General features: G+C 40.0%; 1 protein-coding gene, 1 non-coding gene and 1 pseudogene across 5 annotated transcripts in view, besides 1 other annotated feature; 2 read left to right on the plus strand and 1 right to left on the minus strand.

Annotated features, from left to right (window-relative positions):
• DTWD2 (DTW motif tRNA-uridine aminocarboxypropyltransferase 2) overlaps positions 1-15548 on the minus strand; it is a 152474-nt gene extending 136926 nt beyond the window's left edge. For 2 of the 4 annotated variants that reach the window (NM_173666.4, XM_011543338.4), the window contains exon 1: positions 15295-15548. In NM_173666.4, the coding sequence (NP_775937.1) occupies positions 15295-15512 (218 nt within the window). In that variant the 5' untranslated portion in view covers positions 15513-15548. Of the gene's footprint in view, positions 1-15130; positions 15222-15294 lie in introns of those variants that run through there. The other 2 variants (NM_001308081.2, XM_011543340.3) reach the window with 1 other exon arrangement.
• On the plus strand, positions 563-1821 carry PTMAP2 (prothymosin alpha pseudogene 2; annotated as a pseudogene).
• On the plus strand, positions 1587-1671 carry MIR1244-2 (microRNA 1244-2). The gene has a single exon (NR_036262.1). It is a non-coding gene; the product is annotated as a microRNA 1244-2 (primary transcript).
• Positions 15132-15461: a silencer, noted in NCBI's record as "silent region_16260". NCBI's record gives its function as "represses an Ori minimal core promoter by ATAC-STARR-seq in GM12878 lymphoblastoid cells {active_cell/tissue: GM12878}" and the evidence as "EXISTENCE:reporter gene assay evidence [ECO:0000049][PMID:35858748]".

The following is a 17433-nucleotide window of genomic DNA, read 5'->3' on the forward strand; positions in this document are numbered from 1 at the left end:
TTTTTTATCTTTGTTGGTTTACAGTCTGTTTTATCAGAAACTTACAGTCTGTTTTATCAGAAACTAGGATTGCAACCCCCTTTTTTTTTTTTTTTTTTGGCTTTCCATTTGCTTGGTAAATCTTCCTCCATTTTGAGCCTATGTGTGTCTTTGCACGTGAGATGGGTCTTCTGAATACAACACACCAATGGGTCTTGACTCTTTATCCAATTTGCCAGTCTGTGTCTTTTAATTGGGGCATTTAACCCATTTACATTGAAGGTTAACGTTGTTACGTATGAATATGATCCTGTCATTATGATGTTAGCTGGTTATTTTGCCCCTTAGTTGATGCAGTTTCTTCATAGCGTCGATGGTCTTCACAATTTGGTATGTTTTTGCAGTGGCTGGTACTTGTTTTTCCTTTCCGTATTTAGTGCTTCCTTGAGGAGCTCTTGTAAGGCAGGCCTGGTGGTGACAAAATCTCTCAGCATTTGCTTATCTGTAAAGGATTTTATTGCTCCTTCACTTATGAAGCTTAGTTTGGCTGGAGATGAAATTCTAGGTTAAAAATTCTTTTATTCCCACTGGCTGCTCTGAAAAGCCATCTTTGCATTGTTCCTCGTCCGCCTCCTTGCTCGCGGCAGCCTCCTTGCTCGCGGCAGCCTCCTTGCTCGCGGCAGCCTCCTTGCTCGCCGCAGCCGCCTCCGCCACGCGCCTCCTCCGCCGCCGCGGACTCCGGCAGCTTTATCGCCAGAGTCCCTGAACTCTCGCTTTCTTTTTAATCGCCTGCATCGGATCACCGGCGTGCCCCACCATGTCAGACGCAGCCGTAGACACCAGCTCCGAAATCACCACCAAGGACTTACAGGAGAAGAAGGAAGTTGTGGAAGAGGCAGAAAATGGAAGAGACGCCCCTGCTAACGGGAATGCTAATGAGGAAAATGGGGAGCAGGAGGCTGACAATGAGGTAGATGAAGAAGAGGAAGAAGGTGGGGAGGAAGAGGAGGAGGAAGAAGGTGATGGTGAGGAAGAGGATGGAGATGAAGATGAGGAAGCTGAGACAGCTACGGGCAAGCGGGCAGCTGAAGATGATGAGGATGACGATGTCGATACCAAGAAGCAGAAGACCGACGAGGATGACTAGACAGCAAAAAAGGAAAAGTTAAACTAAAAAAAAAGGCCGCCTTGACCTATTCACCCTCCACTTCCCGTCTCAGAATCTAAACGTGGTCACCTTCGAGTAGAGAGGCCCGCCCGCCCACCGTGGACAGTGCCACCCGCAGATGACACGCGCTCTCCACCACCCAACCCAAACCATGAGAATTTGCAACAGGGGAGGAAAAAAGAACCAAAACTTCCAAGGCCCTGCTTTTTTTCTTAAAAGTACTTTAAAAAGGAAATTTGTTTGTATTTTTTATTTACATTTTATATTTTTGTACATATTGTTAGAGTCAGCCATTTTTAATGATCTCCGATGACCAAACCAGCCTTCGGAGCGTTCTCTGTCCTACTTCTGACTTTACTTGTGGTGTGACCATGTTCATTATAATCTCAAAGGAGAAAAAAAACCTTGTAAAAAAAGCAAAAATGACAACAGAAAAACAATCTTATTCCGAGCATTCCAGTAACTTTTTTGTGTATGTACTTAGCTGTACTATAAGTAGTTGGTTTGTATGAGATGGTTAAAAAGGCCAAAGATAAAAGGTTTCTTTTTTTTCCTTTTTTGTCTATGAAGTTGCTGTTTATTTTTTTTGGCCTGTTTGATGTATGTGTGAAACAATGTTGTCCAACAATAAACAGGAATTTTATTTTGCTGAGTTGTTCTAACAAAAAAAAAAATTCTTTTATTTAAGAATGTTGAATATTGGCCCCCACTCTCTTCTGGCTTGTAGAGTTTCTGCTGAGAGATCTGCTGTTAGTCTGATAGGCTTCCCTTTGTGGGTAACCCAACCTTTCTCTCTGGCTGCCCTTAACATTTTTTCCTTCATTTCAACCTTGGTGAATCTGATGATTATGTGTCTTGGGGTTGCTCTTCTCAAGGAGTATCTTTGTGGTGTTCTCTGTATTTCCTGAATTTGAATGTTGGCCTGTCTTGCTAGGTTGGGGAAGTTCTCCTGGATAATATCCTGAAGAGTGTTTTCCAACTTGGTTCCATTCTCCCCATCACTTTCACGTACACCAATCAAACATAGGTTTGGTCTTTTCACATAGTCCCATATTTCTTGGAGGCTTTGTTCGTTCCTTTTCATTCTTTTTTCTGTAATCTTGTCTTCACGCTTTATTTCATTGAGTTTATCTTCAATTTCTGATATCCTTTCTTCCGCTTGATCGATTTGGCTACTGATACTTGTGTATGCTTCAAGAAGTTCTCATGCTGTGTATTTCAGCTCCATCAGGTAATTTATGTTATTCTCTAAACTGGTTATTCTACTTAGCAATTCGTCTAACCTTTTTTCAAGGTTCTTAGCTTCCTTACATTGGGTTAGAATATGCTCCTTTAGCTCGGAGGAATTTGATATTACCCACTTTCTGAAGCCTACTTATGTCAATACATCAAACTCATTCTCCATCCAGTTTAGTTCCCTTGGTGGTGAAGAGCTGTGATCCTTTGGAGGACAAGAGGCATTCTGGTTTTTGGGATTTTCAGCCTTTTTGTGCTGGTTTTTCCTCATCTTCATGGATTTATCTACCTTTGGTCTTTGACGCTGGTGACCTTTGGATGGGGTTTCTGTAAGAGACTTAGACTCCCACACAATAACAGTGAGAGACTTTAACACCTCACCATCAATACTGGACCGATCAATGAGACAGAAAATTAAAAAGGATATGCAGGACTTGAACTCAGCTCTGGACCAAGTAGACCTAATAGACATCTACAGAACTCTCCACCCCAAATCAACAGAATATACATTCTTCTCATCACCACATCACACTTATTCTAAAATTGACCACATAATTAGAAGCAAAACACTCTTCAGCAAATGCAAAAGAATGGAAATCATAACAGTCTCTCAGACCACAGTGCAATCAAATTAGAACTCAGAATTAAGAAACTCACTCAAAACCTCACAACTACACGGAAACTGAACAACCTGCTCCTGAATGACTACTGGGTAAATAATGAAATTAAGGCAGAAATAAATAAGTTCTCTGAAACCAATGAGAACAAAGACACAACGTACCAGTATATCTGGGACACAGCTAACGCAGCGTTTAGAGGGAAATTTATAGTACTAAATGCCCACAGGAGAAAGTGGGAAAGATCTAAAATCAACACCCTAATATCACAATTAAAAGAACTAAAGCAAGAGCAAACAAATTCAAAAGCTAGCAACAGACAAGAAACAACTAAGATCAGAGCAGAACTGAAGAAGATAGAGACACAAAAAAACCCTTCAAAAAAATCTATGACTCCAGGAGCTGGTGTTTTGAAAAGATTAACAAAATAGATAGACTGCTAGCCAGACTAATAAAGAAGAAAAAAGAGAAGAATCAAATAGACACAGTAAAAGATGATAAAGGGGGTATCACCAATGATCCCACAGAAATACAAACTACCATCAAAGAATACTCTAAACACCTCTACACACATAAACTAGAAAATCTAGAAGAAATGGATAAATTCCTGGACATATACACCCTCCCAACACTAAACTAGGAAGAAGTCGAATCCCTGAATAGACCGATAACAAGTTCTGAAATTGAGGCAGTAATTAATAGCCTACCAACCAAAAACAGCTCAGAACCAGATTCACAGACGAATTCTACCACAGGTACAAAGAGGAGCTGGTACCATTCCTTCTGAAACTATTTCAAATAATAGAAAAAGAGGGACTCCTCCCTAACTCATTTTATGAGGCCAGCATCATCCTGATACCAAAACCTGGCAGAGATACAACAAAAAAAAGAACATTTCAGGCCAATATCCCTGATGAACATCAATGAGAAAATCCTCAATAAAATACTGGGAAACTGAATACAGTAGCACATCAAAAAGGTTATCCACCATGATCAAGTCAGCTTCATACCTGGGATGCAAGGCTGGTTCAACATATGCAAATCAATAAATGTAATCCATCACATAAACAGAACCAATGACAAAAACCACATGATTATCTCAAAAAATGCACAAAAAGCCTTTGATAAAATTCAACACCCTTTCATGCTAAAACTCTCAATAAACTAGGTATTGATGGAACATATCTCAAAATAATAAGAGCTATTTATGACAAACCCACAACCAATATCATACTGAATGGGCAAACGCTGGAAGCATTTCCTTTGAAGATCGGCACAAGACAAGGATCCCCTCTCTCACCACTGCTATTCAAAATAGTATTGGAAGTTCTGGTCAGGGCAATCAGGCAAGAGAAAGAAAGAAAGGGTATTCAAATAGGAAGAGAGGAAGTCAAATTGTATCTGTTTGCAGATGACATGATTGTATATTTAGAAAACCCCACTGTCTCAGCCCAAAATCTCCTTAAGCTGATCAGCAACTTCAGCAAAGTCTCAGGATATAAAATCAATGTGCAAAAATCACAAGCATTCCTATGTACCAACAACAGGCAAGCAGACAGCCAAATCATGAATGAACTCCCATTCGCAATTGCTACAAAGAGAATAAAATGCCTAGATATAGAGCTAACAAGGGAAGTGAAGGACCTCTTTAAGGAGAACTACAAACCACTGCTCAAGGAAATCAGAGAGGACACAAACAAATGGGAAAACATTCCATGCTCACGGACAGGAAGAATCAATATTGTGAAAATGGCCATACTGCCCAATTTATAGATTCAATGCTATTCCAATTAAACTACCATTAACATTCTTCACAGTATTAGGAAAAACTATTTTAAAATTCATATGGAACCAAAAAAGAACCCAAATAGCCAAGACAATCCTAAGGAAAAGAGGAAAACTGGAGAGGCATTACACTACCTGAGAGGCATTACACTACCTGACTTCAAACTATACTACAAGGCTACAGTAATTAAAACAGCCTGGTACTGGTACAAAACCAGACACATAGACCAATGGAACAGAATAGAGAACTCAGAAACAAGACTACACACCTACAACCATCTGATCTTCCACAAGCCTGACAAAAACAAGCAATGGGGAAAGGATTCCCTGCTTTTTTTTTTTTTAACTTTTTTTTACGTGGTGCTGGGAGAACTGGCTAGCCATATGCAGCAGAAAGTTGAAACTGGTCCTCTTCCTTACACCTTATACAAAAACTAACTCAAGATGAATTAAAGACGTAAATGTAAAACCCAAAACTAGAAAAACCCTAGAAGAAAATCCAGGCAATACCATTCAGGACGTTGGCACGGGCCAAGATCTCATGACAAAAACACCAAAAGCAATTTTGCAACAAAAGCAAAAATTGATAAATGGGATCTAATTAAACTAAAGATCTCTGCACACCAAAAGAAACTATCATCAGAGTGAACAGACAACCTACAGAATGGGAGAAAAACTTGGCAATCTACCCATCTGACAAAGGTCTAATATCCAGAGTCCACAAGGAATTTTAAATAAATGTATCAGAAAAAAACCAACAACCCCATTAAGAAGCGGGCAAAGGACATGAACAGACACTTCTCAAAAGAAGACATTCATGTGGCCAACAAACATAAGAAAAAAAGCTCAACATCACTGATTATGGAAATCCATATCAAAACCACAGTGAGATACCATCTCATGCCAGTCAGAATGGTGACTATCAAAACGTCAACAAATGGCCAGGCACGGTGGCTCACACCTGTAATCCCAGCACTTCAGGAGGCCAAGGAGGGTGGATCACTTGAGGTCAGGAGTTAGAGATCAGCCTGGGCAATATGGTGAAACCCCATCTCCAACAAAAATAAAAAAATTAGCTGGGCATGGTGGTGCACACATGTAGTCCCAGCTACCTGGGAGGCTGAAGCAGGAGGAATGCTTGAGCCGGGAAGATGGAGGTTGCAGTGAGCCAAGATCACATCACTGCGCTCCAGCCTGGGTTACACAGTGGGACTCCATCTCAAAAAATAAAAAATAGAGGCCAGGCGCGGTGGCTCACGCCTATAATCCCAGCACTTTGGGAGGCCAAGGCGGGTGGATCACAAGATCAGGAGATCAAGACCATCCTGGCTAACATGGTGAAACCCCATCTCTGCTAAAAATACAAAAAATTAGCCAGGCATGGTGGCGGGCACCTGTAGTCCCAGCTACTCGGGAGGCTGAGGCAGGAGAATGGTGTGAACCCAGGAGGCAGAGCTTGCAGTGAGCAAAGACTGTGCCACTGCACTCCAGCCTGGGCGACAGAGCAAGAGTCCATCCCCAAAAAAATAAATAAATAAATAATAAAAAATAAATAAAAGGTCAAAAAACAACAGATGCTGGTGAGGTTGTGGAGAAAAAAAGAACACTTTTATACTATTGGTGGAAGTGTAAATTAGTTCAACCATTGTGGAAGATAATGGGGCAATTCCTCAAAGATCTAGAAGCAGAAATATCATGTGACCTAGTAGTCCCATTACTGGGTATATTACCAAAGGAATATAAATCATTCTATTATAAAGATATATGCATGCGTATGTTCACTGCAGCACAATTCATAATAGCAAAGACATGGAATCAATCCACATGCCCATCAATAATAGACTGGATATAGAAAATGTGGCATACATCATAGAATACTATGCAGCCATAAGGAATGAGATCATGTCCTTTGCAGGGACATGGATGAAGCTGGATACTTTATCCTCAGCAAACTAATGCAGGAACAGAAAACCAAACACCGCATGTTCTCACTTATAAGCGGGAGCTGAACAATGAGAACACACAGACACAAAGTGGGGAATAACACAAATTGGGGCCTGTCAGGAGGGCAGGGGGTGGGAGAGCATCAGGAAGAATAGCTAATGGATGCTGGGCTTAATACCTAGGGGATGGGTTGATCTGTGCAGCAAACCACCATGGCACATGTTACCTATGTAACAAACCTGCCCATCCTGCACATGTACCCTGGAACTTAAAAGTTGAAAAGAAAAATAGTACTGTACCAATGTTCATTTCTTCATTTTCGTAACTGGACTTTGGAGGTAATTCTCCATGGGTCTCTTACATTTCTGTATGTTTTGTGACTGAGACAATAACCTTTTGTTCTGGACTATCTTTTCAAAGGTATCTACATGGTGAATAGCCCTGAAAGACAGATAAGGTCTCCCTCTGGAAAAAGAGCAGGTTTACTTGCAACCCATTGTAAAAAATTCAGGAACACACTAAGTTCAAGGTCCTTCAGCCAGGACGCAAACCCACTGTGTGCACAGCATCTACCAAATTATCTCTGAAATCCCTGTAGAGCTTGGAGTGGGAGGGGACAACAAAAGAAACAACACAAACATGAAGCTCATACTCCCTGTTGTGCCTTGAGTAATAAAGTCCTTTGTCTTTGGCCCAGGAATTTCATGTCTTTTGCCAGTGTCCATGAAACTGTGACAGGCTAACTTGTCCACTTGCAATTCGCCTACCAAAAGGACTTGAATAGACATTTTTCCAAAGAAGATATGCAAATGGCCAAAAAGCACATGAGAAGATGTTCAACATTATTAGTCAGCAAAATACAAATCAAAACCACAATGAAATATCACTTCATGCCTCCTAAGATGGGCATAATAAAATGGATAATAGTAAGTGTTGGCAGGAATGTGGAAAAAACAGAAAGCTCATACACTGCTGGTGGGAATGTAGGTGGTGCAGCTACTGTGGAAAATAGCTTGACAATTCCTCAAAAAGTTAAACATAAAACCATATGACCCAGCTATTCCACTCCTAGACAGTAATGGCAAAAACCACAATTACTTTTGCACCAACCTAAAATATATATTTAAAACAAAAACTGAGAGTAGGAACTAGAACAGATTATTTGTATACCAATGTTCATTGCATCATTATTGACAATAGCCAAAATGTAAAAACAACCCAAGCATTCATCAACAGATGAATGGATAATAGATCAACAAAATGTGGTTATACACATAAAATTCAGCCACAGAATTCAGTGAAATTTTCATTCATTTGCTACAACATGGATGGACCTTGAAAACATTATACTCGGTGAAATTAGCCAGACACAGATAGACAAATATATGATTCCACTTAAATCTAGAATAAGTAAATTCATAGAAACAAAAAGTAGAATAGAGGTTACCAGGGTCTCAGGGGAGGGAAAAATAGGAAATTACAGTGTAATGGACAGAGTTTATGTTGGGATGATGAAAAGGTTTGGGGTTTATACCATTTACATCGTGGTGATGGCTACACACATTATATATTTAATGTCACTAAACTGTACACTTAAATGATTAAAATGATAAATATTACGTTATGCAAATGTTACCACAATTTTTGAAAAAAGAATTAGACTGCCAAATAACTTGTCTACATAAACAGATCAGAGACATTTCTATCAGGTCAATTTCTCTACCCTTTGCAAGGTCAACAGGCTCAATACATACCTTTTCAACTAGGTTTCCAATAGTGAAAAATGAAAAACAAGCAAACAAACAATAAACTCAGCAGAAAAAAAAAATCCAACCCCTCCCTCTCTCTAAGAGATGGGGTCTTACTCTGTCACCCAGGCAAGAGCACAGTGGCACCTTCTTACCTTACTACAGCCTCGAACTCCTGGGCTCAAGTGATCCTCCCACCTCAGCCTCCCCGAATCTGCCTTTCTAACATAAAAGTGAAAAGCCAGCAATAGAAATGAGAATCTCATCACAGACAGACAAAGAATTCAGGAGATACAGGCTTGACTTTAAGAAATACAATAATTTAAAAATTGCTTACCTCAAAATAATTAAAAATACCCATGGCCAAAGGTAAAGGAAAAGAATCTTTAGATTAGAAGAAGGCAGAGAAACACCTCATGTAAATACTTACTACATGCAAGAAAAACAAATGCAGTCATACTGTTCATTATTATGTGGTGTAGCAATAATTCATTATTATGTGGTGTAGCAATAAAAATATGAAAGCTAAAGCAGCTCTGCCTCTTATTAGTCATCTGACCTAAAGAGTCTATAAAAGAGAATAACACTATTTAAATAGTAAGGTTGTCTCATGTATTAAACAAAAATGTAAAAGTACTTTGTAGCCAGTGAACTCTTTTTAAGTGATACCAAATTTTAGGCTAGACTATTTCTGAATATATTATCTGACTACATAAGCACTAATAGAAACTATGAATTATTAATTTTGGGAAAATGAACTCAAGGAATTAATGTGCTTTTACAGTCTTTGAAGAAAACTTCTACCTATCGGAGGGTAAAAATATAATTCCTATTTTTCCTAGGGAAAATAAATCAAACACTTAGAAAGCTCTAATGTGGTTTTTAAAACTGGCCATTCCTCTTTGAAGACTTAATTAAGGTTATGAAAAAATTCCCTCTTGACATATATCATTGCTTAACTTTGGACATACAATTAGCCTGCACAATGATTTGTAAATCAGTTAGCTTTCCACATATATTATGAATAAACTATTTCAAAGAATAAACATATTTTCTATACTAACAGGAAAGAACAAACTAATATAATAATTTTCTCTTGAGAATATATCTTTGATATATACAAAAATTAAACTTCAGAATACCCAAATTTTTACCCTAAAAGTTATCAATAATCTAGCTGATTTTAAATTTACCAAAATAGTTTGTTTTCTTTTTTTTTTTTTTTTTTTTGAGACGGAGTTTCGCTCTGTCGCCGAGGCTGGAGTGCAGTGGAGCAATCTTGGCTCACTGCAACCTCCGCCTCCCAAGTTCAAGCGATTCTCCTGCCTCAGCCTCCCAAGTAGCTGGGATTACAGGCACTCACCACCACGCCCGGCTAATTTTAGTATTTTTAGTAGAGACAGGGTTTCACCATGCTGGTCAGGCTGGTCTCGATCTCCTCTGACCTTGTGATCCATCCGCCTCAGCCTCCCAAAGTGCTGGGACTACAGGCATGAGCCACTGTGCCTGGCCCAAAATAGTTTATTTTCTAAGTGCTGATACTGATTCAACAGTTTCAGTTATTCTACATTAACTACCCTAGGAATTACCATTTTTCACTTTTCCCACCAAATTTGAAGACTGATTTACCAGTTGCTCAGTCAGACAACCACAATGATGTACAGGAGACCCAGAATCAAAACATAAATGCCTATAGGGGGCCAGCAGTTAACCACAAATGAGTTAAGCAGGAACGACTGGGAGCTACAGTGACCTGGAGAGATCATGCCCAATATACGGGCACAGCCAATAATACTGAGCTTAACCAACTGCTGCTCAGGAAGGTGGTCTCTGAAGCTGTCAGATCTTCCCACTGTCACAAAAGCCAGAAATCTGGATTTTTATATGAAACATCTTGATTTTGAACTATTAACAACTAATTTAAAAGCTGATAAAACACAGTTCAAAGCAAAACATCTGTAGAGTGCCAGTTTGTGGCTCGTGCATTCTTCTTAAACACCTGCACTCTTCCCTTCTCTCTCTCCTTTCCCCATTTTCTCTCTCTCTCTCTCTCTTATGATGTTCCTCCCATCACTTTTTCCTCCAGAATATCCAAGCCTAAAGAATAAGGAAAAGGTAATGATATGTGGAATTAAAAAGCCAGAGAAAATACCAAAACTCAGCATCCTGTTACTAACTTAAAAAGTCTGAAAATCTTGCAGACTTAGTGATGCCATTTCAACTGGTGATAATACCTACTGTGCAAACAAAATCTTAACGCTTCTTCAGCAAGGAGCCTGGAGTGAGATCAAGTACTTGCATGAGCTAGGGAACCAAGTGGACTGGAGCTAGAGACCCAATTCTGCTACCTGCCTGTTACCTGTATTTCCTCATCATTTAAAAGCAAACAGTAGCTGGGCGCGGTGGCTCTCACCTGTAATCCCAGTACCTTGGGAGGCTGAAGCAGGCGGCTCACCTGAGGTCAGGAGTTCGAGACCAGCCTGACCAACAGGGCAGAAAACCTGCTTCTACTAACAATACAAAACCTAGGCTGGGCGCAGTGGCTCACGCCTGTAATCCCAGCACTTTGGGAGGCCAAGGCAGGCGGATCACCTGAGGTTGGAAGCTCGAGACCAGCCTGACCAACATGGAGAAGCCCCATCTCTACTAAAAATACAAAATTAGTGAGGCGTGGTGGTGATGCATGCCTGTAATCCCAGCTACTCAGGAGGCTGAGGCAGGAGGATCGCTTGAACCTGGGTGGCAGAGGTTGCGGTCAGCCAAGATCATGCCATTGCACTGCAGCCTGGGCAACAAGAGCAAAAACTCCATCTCAAAAAAAAAAAAATACAAAACTTAGCCAGGCGTGGTGGCAGGCACCTGTAGTCCCAGCTACTCTGGAGGCTGAAGCAGGAGAATGGTTTGAACCTGGGAGGCAGAGGTTGCAGTGAGCTGAGATTGCGCCACTGCAATCCAGCCTGGGTGACAGAGCAAGACTCCGTTTCAAAAAAAAAAAAAAAGCAGCAATCTAAAAGTTTGTTACAAGAACTAAATAAAATATTATCATATATAAAATATCTAGGCCTAGTATGTGCCTGGCAGATGGCTGGTGTTTAGTAAATGGGTGTTAAATACATAGATATGGTGTATTATAATTCTTACAGCTTGTTACTTTTGAAAAGAAAACACTGGAGAGACAAAAACTTCCATCTCAGGGTCTATCTGATTCAGTTTGTGTGCATGCTCTCCCTGCTGTTTCTTCCCTTAAACAGGTTTTAAAACATGCTGTTTTTAGACATTATTCCATTATTCCTATGACCAATGATTTGCAAGTGGTTTATGACTCATCCTCAAATGCATAGCAGTAACTACAGAAGATATAAAAGTATAATTAAGATGCCTAAAATATTTCTGGAATGAGGCCCTAATTCTTCCCAGTCAAGCTTGTACCCTTTTATCACCATCCAGTTGCTTTTTTTATAAAATAAAAAAGTATAAATTATACAGCAAAAGTCATGTACAAAAGTCAAACTTGTCACCACCTTTCAAATATAAAAATATTACAGTGGCTGGCTTGTTGGGTTATAGAGCATTAGGCCCAAACTCCCTGACATAGTTTATTTTGCCCTTCCTGGGGCAACCACCACTAATCTCTGCAGCCTCGTCTCTCACCACTCCCTCCCTTCTCCCAAACTCCCCAAATACACTATATATTCTATACACTAAACTCTCGTACATACTGTTTCCTCAACCAGAGCTCACTTTTTCCTCCCTCAAGCCCTCTCCTCAGCCAGTCTCTTCCCTAATTAATCCTAAATATTAGAATCCAGATTAAATATTTCGTTATGTCCTTCAGTCTCAGCTTACATGTCACTTCCAAGATTTCCCAGATCTTTTCCTCATCTCCACCATACAAACTTAGGGTTAGGAGCACCTTTTTATATGTTCCTATAACACCTTACATATACCCATCTAAGAAAGAAGCTGATAGTATAGAATTCAACAAGAAAAAGACCACATGCTTATGTGCATTTTTATATATATATATATATATATATATATACACACACATATATACATACATATACACACGTATATTACACTTTATTTCCTAACAAAATTAAAGACTCTAGTAAAATCTCAGAAGCACTACTTGGTGAACATGCATCCTTTTGCCTTCTGACTCTTACTCCACGACGGCCTAATTTCGAAGACTGCCAAAGGATATCAAACACATATAAAAAGTGTTTAAATCTTTCCACTCTGATGTCATATAATTTAAATAAGAATGTTTAAATTAGCAAGATGATTTTAACTTGAACAAAGTTATTTTACAAATACTTTTACTTTGAAAAGTTCAGAAAACACTTTTTGCTGTTTTCTTCAGAGCTTCAAAAATTTGATGCGGTTCATTACCTATAATTTGAAAAAACTGCCCTACATCATAGGATTTTTAATCTGAGGGCTCCCCATTTAAATAGATATGCCACTTTCCACTAGATCCTGATATTCAGGAGAACTGAAGTCATCTCTTTTTCATCTTTGTATTTCATAGCCTATCACACCGTCTGGAAGAAGGGTCTCCAAAAATATTTGTTGAACAACTGAATTTTACCAAGTAGTTCAACAAATCTTTTGTGCACCTACCATGTCCCATGACCCTCAGCCTTCTTATGTTATCTCAAATAATGCTAATGATACATACTCTGGGGAGATCAGCCAAGGTTTTGTCTTTATCTGAAAAAAAAAATTATATACGTTTGGGAATGGGGGATAGGAAAGGTATTCTAAGAGGTAAATGGAATACAGGCAGGTTTTGTAAACAAGACATACATAAAGGACAGAATACATTTATAGAATCTATATCTTGCAATAATAAATTACAAGTTTGGGATCTTTTAAAGAATATTCCATTCATATTTAAGATATGTTATATTTATAATGAGCAAGATTCTGCTGAAAAGTTAAACTGAGTTTGCACTTCCTGAACAAAGCTAATTTCTGGAACTCCCCTAGGCTGTGACATTTGTAGTAATGTGTTCAGAGAAATGAATACAGTTTAAGTAAATAGCCAAATAACTGTGACTCAATGATCAATCAAATCTAAGAATGCATTTTTAAAACTATTTTAACCATAAATGTAAAGAAGTTCACCCAGGGTACTAGTAGAACTCTAATAGCATAATGAAATAAAATATAAAAAGCCATCAATTCATTTATATTTTATTGACAACACCTAAATATTCTCCATAATTCTAGAATTATATTCTACCTAGTTAAAGCAAATAAAATGCATAGCAAGAGGGAGGAGAGCTTTTCACAGGTAGCAAATTTCACAAGAAATAAGCAAAGTGTAGAATTATAGTCTACCTAATTAAAGCAAATAAAATGCATAGCAAGAGGGAGGAGAGCTTTTCACAGGTAGCAAATTTCACCAGAAATAAGCAAAGTGCAGAAATGTTGGGGAAAATTGTAATCCTAAGGTATTAACTAAACGTAACTGAAAAAAAGATTAAATTCAGCAAGCCATTTTTTTAAAAAAGCATCATAAAATAAATCTCTGCTAAACAGATTTTTACCTATATATTTATAATTAACAATTCTGAACAGACTAAAAACTAAATAAAACTAGCACAGTAATTTAGCCTTTGATTTATATTTGAAACACTTTTCCTCCAGTATCCTATTGAGACCCCTCCAAACATTTTTAAATGCTTCCCCAACCCCCTCAGACGACTTGTTTAAATTAATTGTATTCACAAACCCCTATGTTCAAATTCACAGTCCCTTCTAATCACAAATTTTCCATCCTCCTCAGAGGTTTACTGAGCGTCAACTATACATAGTACATTTAGAAAATATAAAAACATTCTACATTCAAGATCCTTTCCTCTGAAGTCTTACAATCCAGCCCTAGGAAAAGGTCAAAATGTCCAAAGTGTGATACTCCAAGTATTCAAGCAGTAAAGATCTTCAACCATATTCAGTCCTTCTGTTCCCCTTCTTGGAATGCTTTTCCCCTGGCTGGATTCTTCTCATCTTTCAAATCTCAGAGATAGTTCATGACACCATTGAGCTATTTTCTACAGTAGCAACCCATTCCTTTCCTTCACTGCTTTTTTCCCAGTTTGTAATTACATATTTGATTGCTTGTTTGCTGGTTTATTATCCGTATCCAGTAAGAGAATACTCTACAAAAACATGAACTCCACTGCATTGTCAGTGATTACCAAAGCACTCAATAAACACCTGATAAATTAATGCACAGGTCTGGTGTTCCGAAGAAAGGTCTGAGCTAGACACACTGGGATATAGATGATAATTTACCATGAAAACTGATTTTATAAATTACCAGTGGGACGTATGTAGGGTTTGAAGAGAACCTAGAATGAACACCTGAAAAGGCCCTATATTTAGAGTTCTGGTAGGATAGGTAAAGGAGACTGTCTCTCTCCTCCAATCCACTTTATGCTTTTTAACTGTGATATAACTATGCCACTTAAATATGACTGTGTAACTATTTTACAAGTATTACTGTCATCACCCCTTACTTCCCCTATTGGACGCTTAAGTTTCTTGGAAACAGAACTGATGTCTGCTCATCCCATGATACGCTCAGCATATTGCAGGAAGTAAGGTTAGATAATCATGAACCTGGAAAAAGGGCTTCTTACTAGGTAGCTGTGCCTGGCATTTCCGAGATTTCCAACGTGCACCCGCCAACTCCGCCGCCCTAATCGCAGAGCTGCCCGAGCCGCCGACTCCCCGGCAGGGGGCGCCGCACCCTCCTCCGAAGGCCGCTGCCGGCTGCAGTCCCCGCCCCCAGCCCCGCGGTCACCTGCAGCGGGTGCACTCAGGCCTCCGCTCGGCCGGCTCCACCGGCAGCTCCCACAGCCCGTCCGCACTGTCGTCGTCCGCCTCTGCGCCCAGGGCAGCCGCCGCCGGCACTGCGCCGCCCTCCCGCCGCTCCTTGTCGTTCGGCGTCTGAGAGCTTGAGGCCCCAGAAGGCCGCGCAACGGGCTCCTGGAGTGTTCGTGCCTCTTTCTGCGACTCCATGGCGGACACTCCGGTCAGGCCGTGGCATTGAAGCCCGGCTGCCGCCGGGGGGCGCCACGCGCTGTAGAAACCGGCCCGCGCCGCGTAGCGCAATGCCCGCACGCCACGTACGGGGGGCGGGTCTCCGAAGCCCAGGCTGGAGGTCCCACCCTGCCGCTGGGAAGGAACGAGCCCATTGGTCCGTGCCCAGTGGGACCGTTCACCTAGAACTGGGTAGGCAAGTGTGGGCAGTGTTGGAGTGCTGGTGAGGTTAAGTAGCGTCATTGGGAGAGGTAAGGGAAACCTCCCCGAGAGGACCCCAGTACCAAGCCCGAATTTAACTCCTTTAAAAGTTAAAATAAAATGGAATTCTGCATTTTCCGCCTTGGGATGGCAGTTTAAGAATTTGCAGGATTTCCACGCGTGCATGCATCGCAGGTGCGGCAGCTGATGCACTTATTATTTAAAGGCCAACAAAGGAGAGGTTATATCCACTGGGAACTACTCACAGCTGGTCCGTTTCCTTATGTGAATTTCCTGCTCTTCTATGTCTTGTGCTAATAAGACATCAAGCATGCTATTTTACACTGGACACCAGATATTTGTTAAATTAGATTTTTAGATCGTCCCCGATCAGGAAGCAATAGGAGAGCTGGCCCGGGGTACCAATAGGTTTTATGTATGAGGAAACAAGCCCTAGAAAGGTAACGTTGCCCAGGTATTTAACAACTACTGGATACGGCGGTATATAGCACAGCAGCTGTTTTTTAAAAGCCAAAATGAAATCTATGTTAGAATGAAGGCAGAAATACTATTTACCCAAAATGGGTATCGAATTCCTTTTGTTTATTAATGCTTTGTGTTACTTCCAGCAATACACAACATTAAAACAGAATTAAGCTTGGTTTTGATCAATCATGTGAATTAAGCTTAGGAATCACAGTTGTCTTAACTCTATAGTTGTAATAGATTAAATGTGAGGCAAAGTAGACAACACAGTAATAGAGCAAATACTGTATTTCTTAAAATGTTTATTTCACATTAGATTTTTCAGTCATCTTAAAATCAAGTTTGTGAATAAAATACCGTGCTGTTTTCAACTATCCTACGTTCTTTCCCCCCGGAAACAGCACCTCTCTTTTCCTTTGGAGCGTCCTATGTGAGGGATAGAAAAAGGCTGAAACACCCACCTGGTGATGGACGTAGAGTGGGAGAAAGAACTAGCAATTATGCCATTTGGAATCGGAGGATAAACAAAATCCAGAAACTGTAGGAAAGGAGATGAATCAGAAAATTCATCTTGTCTGTAGATTTAGGTTGGGGAACCAATTCTTTAACTGCCAAAATTAAATTCTCATGTGACTTATCTTTAAACGAAAGGAAGCTGCTCATCTTTAATTTCAAGAGGTGAAATGTGCTCAAGTCCTCTAAGGTCCCTTGAGACTCCCAATTGTGTGGTGTGAGAAGACAGATGATAAGGAAAAAAAAAAAAACTTTTTATCTAAGGAATGCGAGCAGTCATGTCTCACTCTCCCTTGAGCTAAATAATTACCTCTTGAAGGCACTTGCTATGCAGGCCCTAGACTGACACCGAGTAGCCATAAAACGCCGTATACCCTATAGTTCAACAATATGTATAGCCAATCACTAACCAATGTTATTTCTGTAAATAAATGACACTTCCTGAGACATAGCTTTTGTAATGCCCCCCTCTGCTGATTCGTTCTCTTTTCTTTAAAAACTCCAGCCCATTTTGTTCTCCAGAGCACTCTCCACAGCAACCTGGAAGTACGACCTAGGCTACAGTCCTCAACGTTGGCCCAAATAAACTCTCTATATTAATTTTGCCTCTGCTCCTTCCTTTTAGGTTGATGTGAGCCTACTTACTTGGGGCTTCCTTTTAACACCCCATATCAGATTATTGGCTTTACCCTTCAAAGTA

This window comes from Homo sapiens, chromosome 5 (genome assembly GCF_000001405.40).
Source record: "Homo sapiens chromosome 5, GRCh38.p14 Primary Assembly".
NCBI lineage: Eukaryota > Metazoa > Chordata > Mammalia > Primates > Hominidae > Homo > Homo sapiens.